The sequence below is a fragment of the Homo sapiens genome, chromosome 12 (genome assembly GCF_000001405.40).
Source record: "Homo sapiens chromosome 12, GRCh38.p14 Primary Assembly".
Lineage (NCBI taxonomy): Eukaryota > Metazoa > Chordata > Mammalia > Primates > Hominidae > Homo > Homo sapiens.
This window is the reverse complement of record NC_000012.12, coordinates 10,030,662-10,045,910: the sequence shown is the minus strand read 5'-3', so window position 1 is coordinate 10,045,910 and position 15,249 is coordinate 10,030,662. Positions and strand designations below refer to the sequence as shown.

The following is a 15,249-nucleotide window of genomic DNA, read 5'->3' as shown; positions in this document are numbered from 1 at the left end:
GCAGTAAATCATATTATATTCAGGTAATTAGAAATTAGACAAGAAGAAAGAAAATTAAGGGAAAGTAGAATGATTGAGAAGCAAGTGATCAATTTACATGTTGGGTTCTGGATATTCAAAGAAGGGAGTAGGTAAGTGATTCTGGTAGTAAAGATAATACTAAAAATGACATCAAAGGAAGAAAGGAAGAAATAACCAATTTATGGCTATTGATTTCTTCATTCAGAACTTTTATTGGGCAATAAAGCCCTTATCTGTGATATCCTGCCCCTTTCCTTGCATTAAGGTAGCTGGTCCACCTTGGCCATGCCAGCTTTCCTCTCACACATTAAATAATGTTTGTTCTCACAGAAGGTAGAGTGCCTTTTCTGATTATGAAAATAGGCACAATTCATATTTCCTTTTCCATCTTCAGAAAGCCCAAACCTGTGAATGGGAAAGGTAGAATAAATTCCTTCAAAAACTAAGGAAACAATCAACAATCAAACTCTGTGTATAGTATTTTGATGCACAAAATGGAGACTCTGGGGAAAACAGTAAAAAAAAAAGTTTCTCATTGTTGAGTAGCTCCCAACCTGCTTGGTAGTACAAGGTATGTATATCTGAAAAGCTCAGTAGCAGTTTCATGTAGCATAAGATTAAGGAGCAAGGGAACACTAGTACAATAGGAGCCCCAAAGAAGAGATTGAGATAGCTCTGAAATAATGGGAAAAGGCTTTATCTACAAGATCAGACTTTAGTTGGTATTGATGGAAGGGCAGGATTTAGATGAACAGGACAAAGAGCTGCAATGGATGGGACAGGAGACAGGAGATGGACAGGACAAGTATCTGCAATGGATGGGAATAGGTTCATGGAAAAGTGAGTTGATTCAATATTTTTGAGCTGAGGATTTATGTTACAGGATAGATGATCTAAGACAGCATGCTGTATTGTAATGGCTGTTAACTTATCTTTATTCTCTTCTAGACCGTTTATCACGAGAGGACAAGGAATATATATTTATTAGTTTATTTGGCATATATCTACATAACTATGTGACAAAGTTGTTCTATGGGCTGAGGATAGACTGGTACAGAAAGGCAAGAAAGCCAAGGGCTTTCCTGTTGGGGAACTTCCATTTCAGTGGGGTGATGCCAGTAAGAAGCCCACAAATAGACAAGAAAATTTCTGACAGTGGTAAAGTTACAAAGAAACAAAACAGTGGTAGACTGTGTGGATGTGGGCTGAAGGGAAGCTAATTTAGTTTGGGTAATTAGACTTAGCCTCATTGAAGAAGTGATGTTTAAATAGAGACTTGATTCACAAGAAGGAAACAGTCATGGAGTTGTGGAGGCAGAGCATTCTAGGAGAAGAAAATAGCAAATGCAAAAGTCTTGAGATAAAAAAACGAGTTTGATTTGTTGGAAGAATAAAAAAAACCCCACTAATTTGTCTGCAATATTGTGAATGAGGCAGCAAGTAATAGGAGATAAAGCCCATGGTCTGTGAAGAGTTGTAGCTGTAGTATCCTGAGATCCTACCTATAGTAAATACTTCCTAAATATTTATTAAATAATTAATGGTGCAAGTAATGATCATATTGTACAAGATTTGGTTATCCATTTACATTTTAATTGGAGAGAGACTGCAGTTTTGATATATAGGATGGACAAAAGATGTTGAGACTGGACATTGGAAAACCACATAGGAAGTGACAAAAGTTCACAACCTGGTGCTAACAGCCTATTTGCCTGCATCATGTGTAGAAGGATAGAGCTTCACTAATGGACATTGGAATTATCTTGTGAACCCCAATGTATCTAATTCTTGGAGACTTGAAGGATAGAAGAGTAGGCAAAATGCCACCGAAAAGTCAAAAGACTCTCAAGTTTACAACTTTCAACTGTAACAAAATAAGGATGAAATTTTGTTTAAAAAATATATGGAGAGGGCCAGGCGCGGTGGCTTATGCCTGTAATGCCAGCACTTTGGGAGGCTGAGGCAGGCGGATCATGAGGTCAGGAGAGGGAGACCATTCTGGCCAAGATGCTGAAACCCGATCTCTACTAAAAATACAAAAATTAGCTGGTGTGGTGGCGCGTGCCTGTAATCCCAGCTGCTCAGGAGGCTGAGGCATGAGACTCACTTGAACCCAGGAGGTGGAGGTTGCATTGAGCCAAGATCGCACCACTGCACTCCAGCCTGGTGATAGAGCGAGACTCCATCTCTCTCTCTGTCTATATATATATATATATATACATATATATGCAGAGAATCAGAGCAATTTAAAGACACACACACACACACACACACACACACTGTTCCATGGTAAAGATTAATATAGAAATGAATGGGAATAATATCAGGTATAAAAATGGGTTGTGGCTTAGATAAAGAGTTTAAGAATGGGAGAGGGGAAGGTAGAATTGTCTTATGACCAGTGCTCTCTTGTTTGAAGTAGGGAGTAAGTGACTCAGCTGCTGATTATATAACCCATAGTAGGTTATAGAGACACATTTCAATTATTAAGTGACTTGGACTGAGATGAGAGCGGATCTCAAGAATAAGTTTCTAGTATTACTTTCTATTCTGAGTGTCGGGGACTTACATATTTTTTTAGAGAACTGAGCCATCTCCCACTTACAGACCTCATTAGAGTTCTGGTGGGATAATCTGACCCAATGAATTAAACCAGTCCTGGCTTTGATGTATTCCTATTGTAAACATAAATAAACACAATGGTCAGAATCCCTCCACAGCTGTTGATAATGACATAAAGACAAAGCTTTATGATAAGACCCTGGACAAAAAAAAAAGTTGGATTACATGTCTATATTAATGTATTTCATTTGATATTTGAATCTGTGCCAATTTCACTTGTCTTAGAACTTAAAAAAGCTTGTAGGATGCAGGTAAAATTGTACACAAAATAGCTGAAATTCTAATGTTCCTATGTGTTTATAACATATATTTATATCTTCAATCAATTGAGGATTATACTTTCAGACTACCAAACATGACTCAAAGGAATAAATGTGAACAGAGAAAGAAAACACAAAGAAATACATTATTGGTGAGCTTTATATTCCTTAGATTTAAAACTCTACATGGTTTGGTTTTATTGCTTAGCTTGCCTATAAAATGTTCCCTATAGAAGTATTAATTTGTTTTAGTTGAGTAAAGGAGTACATAATGTCTTTCTCAAAGGGATTTATTAATAACATACATCTACCTTTCCTGGTTTACTTTTCTCTAGTTAGCAATAATCACTACCTACTATACTGTATAGTATGTTATTTGTTTGGCTTCTTGGCTGTTGCTTCAATTAAAATCTATGCTCCTTGAGCTTAAGGATTATTTTTTCTGTTTTATTAACTGCATAGGTCCAAGTCCTGGAATAGTTTCAGCACATATTTGTTGAATTAATGAAGGAATAGGTAAATCAATCAATATATGAGTAGGAAAATTAAATGGAGGACAAATGTTTATATACTCTCACACCTCCCAAAATAACAAGTGAGAATGCATTGTTGGCAAATAGGAAGTGACTTGAGGTTCTTGACAGATATGAAAGACTCAGAATGGCATTCCACAGGAGCTATTGTGTGACAGTCACATTTGACTGCTTATTTCTAAAAGCTTAAGCCACTAGTAACCTTACTCTTACTCCTCCTAATCTTTTCTTTAGAATATATCAACATTATATACTTCCCTACAGAACCTGACAGATAAATTCTACTTGAAATTCAACTATACCTTTCTATTTTCTCAAAAAAATTGCATGAATACTTTTAGTTATAAATCTTTAAACTGGCACCAGCCTAGAGTAATACAAATTCAGGATATACATATATGTCTTCAATTAATCTTTTTGTAATAGAGCTGAGATTTTAGGAAATTCTCTTATTTTGTTGGAGTGGAAAGAAAAGCTAATTAATTTAACTGGATATCTCCTGTATGAGTCTGAGCCCACAAAAACAGTAAGTGCGCAGTGCAGCAAGTTAGAACAACACAGGACACAAATGATCAAGAACATCACTGGGCTGACTCTTCATGTGTGACCCACTATGTACCTGAGCTGTCAGGAAGGGACAAGTCAATTTGACCAATCAACTCTAGCAATGTTGTAGAATATTATGACTGGATTGAATATTTGGGTTCTGTAATTCTTACTAGGTTTCATAAAGTTCTTAGATTAGTACAAACTGAAAGATGTTAAGAAAAATGTAAAAAACAAAAAAGGTCAAATGTTACATTTGAGAGTTTTCTCCCTTGCCTCCAAAATATTTGACATAAGAATCTTCTTACCAGAATGTTCTGGTTGTCAGTCTTCAGGAGAGTAGCCTTCATGTCAGTGCAGTACTGCTCACTCTCTTTCCATGTCAAGTTGTGTTTGAAGAACCCATAGCAGCTATCTCCATAATATGTCCAGTTGGCATCACAGGGGCTGCGTTTATAGTCACCTGGAGAAACCAAGCACAGGAATGTTGTTGTTGTTTTTAAATTGGAATTACATTTTCCCTACATTCCATGTATTCTGCAGATCCCAAGACTCCCTTCAGTTACCATCAGAGAAATGCTCCAGGGGTTGGAGAAATGAAGACGTTAAAAAAACAATACCTACTAAAAGTGCCCTTCTGTTTTTTTTTGTTTGTTTGTTTTTTGTTTTTGTTGTTGTTGTTTTTGACTGAGTCTCACTCTGTGGCTCTGGCTGGAGTGCAGTGGCACGATCTTGGCTCACTGCAACCTTCACCTCCCGGGTTTAAGTGATTCTCCTGCCTCAGCCTCCCGAGTAGCTGGGATTACAGGCACCCACCACCCTGTCTGGCTAATTTTTTTTGTATTTTTAGTAGAGACAGGGTTTCACCATGTTGTCCTGGCTGGTCTCGAACTCCTAACCTCAGAGGATCCGCCCGTGTCGGCCTCCAAAAATGCTGGGATTACAGGCGTGAGCCACCACACCCAGCCGCCCTTTTGTTCTGATTGTTTTATTACATATTGGCAGAAGTGCTTTGCTAATTGTTGCAGAGTTCCTGAGAGATTTTCATTCTCAACTTGTAGGTAATTTTGCTGCATGACAGCTAGATGTAAAAAATAAATAATAACATTTTGTAATCAGAATTATAGGAATGATGCAAATATTTTTTGTTGAATTTTCATTTCATTAAAATTGCCAATAGGCCGGGTGCGGTGGCTCATGCCTGTAATCCCAGCACTTTGGGAGGCTGAGGCGGGCGGATCACGAGGTAAGGAGATGGAGACCATCCTGGCTAATACGGTGAAACCCCATCTCTACTAAAAATACAAAAAATTAGCCGGGTGTGGTGGCGGGCGCCTGTAGTCCCCGCTACTCGGGAGGCTGAGGCAGGAGAATGGCGTGAACCTGGGAGGCGGAACTTACAGTGAGCCGAGATGGCGCCACCGCACTCCAGCCTGGGCGACAGAGCAAGACTCCATCTCAAAAAAAAAAAAAAAATTGCCAATGTATGAAGAGTTTACTAGATACACGTGATTAAATCAGTGTTGAAAAGAGTGAAGGGGCTATAAAGAACAAATTTAAAAATACACAAAACTGACACCTGAGGGTTAATAAGTGAACTGTTTGAAGGAGACAATCACAAATAAAAAAGATCCCTAGATCAATAACATGCCCAAAGTGGTTGTTGACATTTTCTTGAATACAGGATTCTCAGCTGAGTTCAGAGAGGTGAAGGAACTCATTTTCTGTTCCTTGTGTGATGCCAAACTATTCATTTATTTTAAAATGCATACTAATTTCTTGTTATGGTTAAAGTACTTGTGATAAGATTGGGCAAGGTGACTCATGCCTATAATCCCAGAACTTTGAGAGGCCGAGGCTGGCACATCACTTGAGGCCAGGAGTTCGAGACCAGCCTGGCCAACGTGGCGAAACTTTGTCTCTACTAAAAATACACAACTTAGCCAGCTGTGGTGGTGCACACCTGTAATGCCAGCTACTCGGGAGGCTAAGGCATGAGAATCTCTCAGACCTGGGAGGTAGAGTTTGCAGTGAGCCAAAATAGCACCTCTGCAACTCCAGCCTGGGTGAAAGAGCGGAACTTTGTTTCAAATAAATAAATAAATAAATAAATAAAGTACTTGTGATAATTAGGTAAATAACGAAGAAATAAAAGATGATAAATGAAAGATTCTAAAATATCTCATGAAAAATCAACAAATATACAAACAAGCAACAGCTACGCAGACTACAATGTGCCACTGGAGGACTGTGAGATTTCCTGGAGGAAAAAAGCACAATATTTTAGTAAACAAAGTGGGATGACGCAAATTTTAGGTAGAGAGAATAGAATGAGAAAGATTTCAGACAGGGGAACATAGGATTTACATATGAAATTGAAAAACTCCATTTTGGCTGATTCTTAGGATATGCAAGATAGGAAGAGGGACAAAATAGTTTTTAAAAATAGTTTGGATCCACACTGAGGAGTTCTTAAAAGCCAGTAGTAAATTCTTAAAAATACTTTTAATTAATAAAAAACTTAGCTATTTTGATCACAAGGAAAAGGTCAGTGTTCTCCTTTATTGAGAGTATCTTGGCAGCTATGTATAGGACAATTGGATAGTGACAAACAGACAAATAGTGACCATTGAGAAGCTTAGTGGGATATGCCATGACCCTTCGGTATTGCCTTCCTCCAATCAAATCTTTGGCAGAGTCAACACTTACACCAAATCCCCAGAGCCACCAGCCCGACAACCATCCCCATGCACAGGATCAGCAGAATCAAAGCCATCACACACCACCAGGAGGAGGAAGCAGGGCCAATTGTAGGCATATAATAAAGACATCAAGGAGCAGGCAGTATGGGTTAGCTATGGGGAAGGCTCACCCCTGCCCCTGCCCCTGCCTTCTCAGGGTCCTCCAAGTAATAGAAAGAGCTTTGCTGGCAGATCTCACCTGTGTTCTCCTGATGATCATCAACAATAGGCATGGCCCACCCCCATACCACACATCCATCCTCATCCCCAATGGACTTTACCTCTCCAAGCTGAAATATTACTCTCTGTTAAGGCCTGATGTGTTTGCATTTTTTGTTTTGTTTTGTTTTATGCCCACCCATCCTATAACTACTTTAATAAACAGCAACTGGAGAATCACACACACACATTTAACTTTATGAAATGAGCTTTTAAGTTATTTTAGCTTGCATTGAAAGTAGTTATAAGAACAGCCATACAAAGCTAGCTGATGTGTTTATTGTAGGAATATTGGGGAGGATGCTGTCTATTTTGCCATTAGAGTAGCTCTTATATAGCTTTATGGAAGTATTTTGTTGTTGTTGTTAAACCCCCATGAGCAGTAAAGCTTCCCTTTTTCCAATTAAGTAGTAGTCTTTTACTTTATAAATGACCTGATTTCTTTTTTTTCTCTAATTAGCAGAATGTTAGACTTCTCAATATAGTAACTATGTGGGTTATAGTGGCAGATATTTTGTTTACTAACACGCCTTTTGGCATAGCTTGTACATATTTTTTTTCTCCCTGCTATCTCCTTCACTCTGAATTCTTTGTCAATTCACTTAAAATGGTCTTCCATTCTAAAATTTCTTTCTCTACACTCTTCAAATTATTTTGAGAATGAGGTGAAGAATAAACAAACAAACAAAAAAGACAGTACCTGATTTTGGAAACAAAAACTTAGTATGATTCAAATATTTTTACCAAAAACCAATTCTTAATAATAAAAGCTCATTTCCAAGAAATGCTGAATTATTTAAAAGTACTACAAATTAAAAAAAATTAAAATCCCAAACCCATTTTTGTCACTGAGTTTTTTATCTCAGTTAAAATATTCAGTGGTTCCCAGTCGTAAGCTGGGTAAATCCAGTCACTTACCATTCACCTACCACAGCTTCTGTTCTTGAAACTTTTGTTTTAGCCAAAAGGGACTCTTAACCCTTCCTTCACTAATTCTTAGGCTATGTGAACTTTTTTTTTTAACATTTAAGACATCTTCCCCACTCAACTACACACCAGCCCACGTTCTTGTCCCTCTTCCTTGCTTCACTCTTTTCCATAACGCTGATCACTATCCAACACACATAGAGTTACCTTTGATAATAAAATTTTTGTCCTTTAACCCCAGAAGAAAATGTCCCATGGCTCTAAAATAGTGACTGACATGCAGTTAAAGCAGGTTCTTGAGTAACATCCTTTTATGTAAGATTGTTTTGTTATAACGATGTTGAGAAAAAAAATTGCTTCCCAGCTGGGGCCACTGTGTGGAGTTTGCACGGTCTCCCCGTGTTTGCATGGGTTTTTCCTGGGTCCTCCAGTTTCCTCCCATGTCCCAAAATGTGAACGTTAGGTGAATTGGCGTGTCTACATGGTCCCAGTGTGAGTGAGTGCGGGTGCGTGTGAGTGTGCCCTGCGATGGGATGGTGGCCTCTTCATAGTCGGTGGCCTCTTCATAGTCAGTGCCCTCCTTGGCCCTGAGCTGCCTGAATGGTCTCTGGCCACCTGAGACACGGAGCTGAAATAAGTATGTGGGAAAATGAATGAATGAATGAATACAAATTATTGTAAAATAAGAATTTGTAAAATAGCCAATAATTATACAAATGCAGGTAAATAAGCAATGTAGTTCGAAAGCGCTCAGTGAGCCCGCCCTATTCCTGATTGTGTATTGTTGAACGGCATGGTTTAGAAGGTGCTTCTGTCAATTTTTACTTTGCAAACATCTATTCCTTGATTTTACCTACTACTATGACCACCAACACCCACTGATTTACTAAAAATTGGGTATATAATTATCTTGTTTTCATTCATCTTTTCTGAATGTACGTAATAGGTATAGTTCACATTTGTTTTAATGTTTACTCTTAGAAGTGTTCTGAGTCTTTATTTACAAGGTAGGTGATGTTTTTGTGACCAGAAATATGCTGGTTGGTTTGGTTCTACCTTGTTTCTACGCAGCTTCTAAGAATCTATTGATGATGTTAAGTGAGAATTTCCTGTGTTACCCAATACGTATTTGTTGAATGAATGAATGCATATATGTATGACGGGCATTATCATCCTGATTTTGATCATGGGAAGAGAAGTTTAAGAAATTTGGGGGACTTTTTAAATCATGGTATTTCTTGTAAAAAGTAGTACCTAGTAGCATCTACCCAGTTTGTAAATTCTTTCTACTACACTTTGATGTCTTTCATAGACTCTATTATCTATGTGTATAGCTGAAGAATGAGTAAAAGATACTAAGATAACAATGACAAGGAGTACATGCAGTAAGAATTGAAATTAGTGGAATGTATAACATTGTAGATAAGACTGATTAATATACAGGGATGGCCTGTGGATGTGTAGAAGAGAAGGGCAATAAGATGTTGACTACTGTGGGTGTTATGACTGCAGACAGAAACAAAAGAAGTATTTTGTAATTGGTCATAGCTTTTCACAGACTTCTTACCACCTTTAAGCTAAAGCCTCAGGTGCTTCTATTAGTGATATTCAGTCCTCTCTCTCAGCCCTCTTCATTACAATTGTTGGTTTGCCTTTGACTTACCAGGCTTTCACACAAATACTAAATGCTATTTAATTTGTAAAGGGGTAAGATTTCCTGTCATAGAAAAGTATAGTTAATATTTTCTCCTTCATTTACAGAAAGCTTAAACATGTGGATTTCAAAGTGGAATGAGCTTTATTAAAAGTTAATACACCAAACAACTAATAACTATCAGACCAAAATTATGGCAGAACATTTGTGACAAACAGTAGTGAAAATGAAGGGAAAAATGTGTCAGACTGCAGTCCTATCACAAAGTTTATCAGGCATTTGCATACCAAACATGGAAGTAAAAATTAAATAAGAATGAATGATAATCAGTTGGATTAATTAAGATTTGCATTGGTATTTGAAGGAAAGGTAAATATTGCCTAAGAAGAAAAAGAAGAAGGCAATGTTTATCAGGCAGGGCAAACATCTTAATAAAAACTGGGAGTTTGAATAAGTATACTTCTTGTAAAAAGCAGTACCAGGCACCGGGCATGGTGGCTAACTCCTGTAATCCCAATACTTTTGGAGGCTAAGGTGGGAGGATTGCTTGAGCCCGGGAGCTTGAGATCACCTTGTGCAACATGGTGAAACCCATGGTTTAAAAAATTAGCTGGGTGTGGTGGCGCACGCCTGTAGTTCCATTGCGTGGGAGGCTGAGGTGGCAGGATCACCTGAGCCCAAGAGGCAGAGGTTGCAATGAGCTGAGATCGTGGATCTTGCCACTGCAGTCCAGCCTGGGTGACAGAGCCAGACCCTGTCTCAAAAACAAAACAATAACAACAACAAAAATGTACTATCATCTAATCTACTCAGTGCGATTATGGGAAATAGTGCGATTGATTGAGGGAAAGTGGTCTGATCAAGTATATTTGAATTGAGGATTCATAGTATGTTAAGTATATTTGCCATTGCACTTTCCTTTAAAATTACTACAAAATTTCATGGCAAGGGCAATTAATTAATCATTTATTTGAACATATGTGATACAGAAGTGGGGCAGAGAAGTGCTGGATAGAGAAAGGCGGATCCCTGGCGAGGGCTCCACCCCCGGGCCTTTGCCCACCGACCTGGATGAGGACAGGCACTCCTGCCTTCATGCCCAGATGTTGCATTTCCCAAGACCATCCTGGCCCGCATGTCCCCATCCTGTGCCTATAAAACCCCCAAGACCCTAGCAGGCAGACACATAAGTGGCTGGACATTGAGAGTAGTCATCAATGGAACAAGACATAAGTGGCTGGACGTCAAGAGCATATCGGCAGGCCACCAACTGGTGAAACAAGGCAGAGTTTGGCCGGGACAATCAGAGGAGAGCCTGGGCCACTGAGTGGCCAGACTCCAGGGGAAAACCATCACCCTTTTGGCTCCACCATCCGCTGAGAGCTACTTCCTTTCACTAAAACCTTGCACTCATTCTCCAAGCCCACGTGTGATCTGATTCTTCCAGTACACCAAGGTAAGAACCCTGGGATGCAGAAAGCCTCTGTCCTTGCTATAAGGTAGGGGTCTAATTGAGCTGACTAACACAAGCCACCTATGGACGGCTAAACTAAAAGAGCACCCTGTAACACACGCCCACTGGGGCTTCAGATACAAACATTTACTCCTAGACACTACCGTGGGGCCGGAGCCCCACAGCCTGCCCCTCCCCTAGAGGTCTGAGTAGCGGGGCACTGAAGAAGCGAGCCATACCTCCATTGCACACTCTGCTAGGGGGACAAGAGAACTTTTCCCATTTCATATGTTTATTGATCACTGTGGAAGTCCCAGGCATGTTTCTATTTTCTGGGGACTAATCGTTAATGAATCATACAAGCAATGAGCTTGTATTATAGTAAAGGGTGGGGAGCACAGATAGTAAAGAAACATAGAAAGCAAAGACCAATATAATTTTACATCGAAAGCAAAGATCAACATAATTTTACATCATGAAAAGTGCTACAAATGAAGAAAAGTGATATAATTGAGTTCTTCCAGACAGGCTGGAGGCAGACCCTGGTTGGGCTCATGAGAATTGGTTTGTTTAAGCTTCACTGTCAGTGCTTGGGCAATGTCCCAGCTTTCTTCCTTTTTTTAAGATAATCCAGAATAATCCAAACTTACTTCCACTATGACAGCTGCCATTTATTGCTCTTTCTATATGCTTTTATCAGTTACATTTGTGGTAGGCATTAAACTTATGACAAATTTACTGCTAAGAAAAATAAAGCACAGAGGCTCAGTAACTTGCCAAAAGCCACAGGGCAAGTAAGTGTTGATCCAGGATTTGAATCAATCAGCCTGTCTTCACAGTGCTTCATTTTAATTCAGACATTTTATTATCCTGGTCAGGCATACTCACCTAATTGGGTGACTATATTAATACATTTAAAAATAAATTCCATCCTATATCCATCCTCTGTCTCCTCCTTGTGGCCATTTATTTTTCTTCTGCTTTTAGTTTATTTTTGTTTCCCTTATGCCTTTGATAACTCTGGCTTTCATCTTCATTTTTCCCTATTTCTTTTTTTGTAAATAATTCTGAATTAATTGTCATTCTGGCCATTCTCTGGGTACTATCCAATTTAGGCCCCACTTTAAAAGTGTCCTCTGAAACAGGCATAAGATGTGAGAATGGAAAGACTGTTAAAGAACAGAGTGAGAATGAATCCTCCTATCATGTTAACTCAGCATTTCTTTTAAGGTATTCTCAATCAACAATACTTCCATAATTAATAACTGTGCTTCCATATTTTCCAAGGTGAACAATATTTTCTGACATGTTTAATTCATGTGAGAGCAGCAAGAAAAGTCAAAGGTGATTCCAAGTTTTTGGCAGAGGAACCGTAGGTATGGAATATTCATTTATCGAGATGGAGAAACTCATTGGGAAGAGTCACTCATTTTTTGATGTGTTAAGTTAAAAAATCCTAAAATATATCAAAGTCAATATGCCAAGAATCCAGTCAGATATGTGGTTCTGGAGATCAAGCAATGGTATGGAAATATAATTTTGGACATTATCAATGTATGGCTATTAAGTCATGAGGTTACAAGAGATTAATTCCCATTCTGGCCATTCTATGGGTACTATCCAATTTAGTTCATCCCAGGATAAATTAAAAAAAAAACAAGAGGACCAAGAACTGAATTCTGGGACACAACAACATTTTAAATTAATTTAAGGAGGAATCCAAATCTGAGGGAGGATTGGGTTGTGAATGAAGCAAAAGGAAATTGAAGAGAACGGTGTCCTAGGGAACACTGTATTTTAGAGAAGAATGTATGTTATGAAAAGGGAATAATCTTTTTTTTTTTTGAATGCTTATCTGGTGCGTGAGATGAATTCTGAGAACTAGCCATTAGATGTGTTCATGTGGAGGTTAATGGTGACTTTGACTGGAGTGTTTTCATAGAAATAGTGAAGGAAAAAGCCTAATTAACATAAAGGAAAAGTAGGATGAAACAGTAAGCACAGAGAGATTTTTGAACATTTTTGTTGTCAAGAAAATTAGAGAAATGTTAAGAAGAAATATAAGAAAATTAGAATCGTGTGTATGGGGGCATGGTAAACAAAAGATGGCTTTTGCTTGTTTTTAACATAGGAGATATTATACCATGTTGGGAGGTGAAGGTGAGTGAACAAGTGGAGATGAAAAGAAATTGATAGTGCCAGAGCGAACCAAAGAAAGAAAATTACAAGCTTGAAATCCCTATTGGCCGGGCGCGGTGGCTCACACCTGTAATCCCAGCTCGTTGGGAGGCCGAAGCGGGCGGATCACGAGGTTAGGAGATCGAGACCATCCTGGCTAACACGGTGAAACCCCATCTCTACTAAAAATAAAAAAAAATTAGCCAGGCTTGGTGGCGGGTGCCTTTAGTCCCAGCTACTCGAGAGGCTGAGGCGGAAGAATGGCGTGAACCCGGGAGGCGGAGATTGCAGTGAGCCGAGATTGCGCCACTGCAGTCCAGCCTGGGTGACAAAGCGAGACTCCGTCTCAAAAAAAAAAAAAAAAAAAGAAATCCCTAAGGAGGTAGGTGGATGGATTTTAATATACAGATGGAGATTGAGCATAGATTATGTTACGGGATCTTTGGGATGTTGATTTTCTGTTCAGAAACCTGTGTGGCTGTGGCGTCTTTGCCCGAGTTCTTGTCCTGCGTCTATGGTTGCTAGATTGTATGTTAATATTATACTTAGCTCTGTAAGAAACTGCCACACTGCCTTCCAAAGTGGCTATGCCTTTTTACCTCTCACCAGCGGTGAATGAATGCTCCTGTTGCTCCACATCCTTGCCAGCATTGGATGTTGTGAGTATTTTGGATTTTAGTCATTCAAATAGTATACAGTGGTTTCTCATTGTTGTTTTAATTTGCAATTCCCTCCTAAGGTATGACATTGAGCATCTGCAACACTGAACTTAGCTCTCCAAACAAGGCTCAGCCTTGTCTGCATTCCTTTCCCTACCCTCACTTCCCCTTCTACTTGGAATGTTATTTGTAGCATTTGTTTGTCTCCTGTAACCCTGCCAATCCTTCCCAATCCTCAGAGCCTTCACTGACAGCATCGGGCGGCTCACTCGTTCCTGCTGCCATAGTAATTTGTGCGTAACTTTTCTTGAGATTTATCACATCCTGTTATTATATGCTGTTTCTTCTACCGACATTGGTTGCTACTCCCATTTCTCAACCTCCTGGCTTCAAGCAATCCTCCCACCTTGGCCTTCCAAAATGCTGGGATTACAGGTGTAACTAACTGCACCTGGTCTTGCTACTCCCGTTTCTAAATAAAATTTCAATCTGAGTAAAAACTAAAGCCAATTTCTTCCCAAAATGGTGGGGGGCACTGGACACAATATCGAAGACCATTAGCACAATCAGTAGCACCAGACAATGAGTCAGCAGAGTCACTAAAGCCTCAGGCCACGAGTTAGAAGACACTTCACAGATTAAAGGAAATCAACAGAGGAGTAAGAAATAACCAGGGATGGCCTCCTGGAGATTTCGTGTTTGACTCCCTTTCCCTCTCTATCTCTAAAGAGAAAGTGCAGAGGGCATTTTAGACTGAGGGATCAGTAGGAGCAAGAGTAAGGAAGCTACCTGATTTACAGAGGCTGTCTACTGCCTGCAGTATCAGGCCATTGAAATACACTTAACGTCTTTCCACCAGCGGCTCCAGCCTTCCCCTCCACTTGCATCTTCCCTCATCCATCTCTGCAGATGATACATACTCCCACATATCATTCATTATTTCTTAAATATATCAGCTCACACCTTCATATTATTTTACATTTCTTCAGAATCTTTCCTAACCTAGAATGCCCTTTCCCCTTTCTCCTTTAATCATGCCTTTCTTATAAAGTAGGTTCAGATGACCTTCTCTGTCAGCATCATCTGTAATGACATACCTTCCACCCTACTGCCAGTGGTTCTTACCTCTTCTGCAGAGAGTATCATCAGTTTGAATCATTTAGATCTTGGCTAACATGGGAATCTTTACCATTGTGTGGATCAAATACCCAGATCTTGATAAGAAAAATAAAAATGCTATTGTCACATAAATGGCTGGGTTTAATCATCTGTGGGCCTTAGAGTATGTTTTCTTCAGGACAAGGTAGGCCGTTGTGCTTCACAAGAGCTTGCGAGTTATTTGAGAAGAATCAAAACATGTTGCCAGTCTAGCAGAAAAGCATTTCAACTTCACCACAGATTGCCACAGCCGGGTACAAACGGAAGTCCCGCCCCCT

General features: G+C 39.3%; 1 protein-coding gene and 1 pseudogene across 1 annotated transcript in view; both read right to left on the bottom strand.

Moving 5' to 3' along the window:
- Window positions 1–15,229, bottom strand: part of CLEC9A (C-type lectin domain containing 9A) — a 35,350-nt gene extending 20,121 nt beyond the window's left edge. Inside the window, exons 1-2 of the mRNA NM_207345.4 lie at window positions 14,939–15,229; window positions 4,291–4,445 (exon numbers count right to left, since the gene is read on the bottom strand). The gene's annotated coding sequence lies outside the window, so the exon portion shown is untranslated. The remainder of the gene's footprint in view (window positions 1–4,290; window positions 4,446–14,938) is intronic.
- On the bottom strand, window positions 206–5,070 carry LOC100421202 (C-type lectin domain family 1 member B pseudogene; annotated as a pseudogene).
- Window positions 15,230–15,249: the final 20 nt, after the last annotated feature.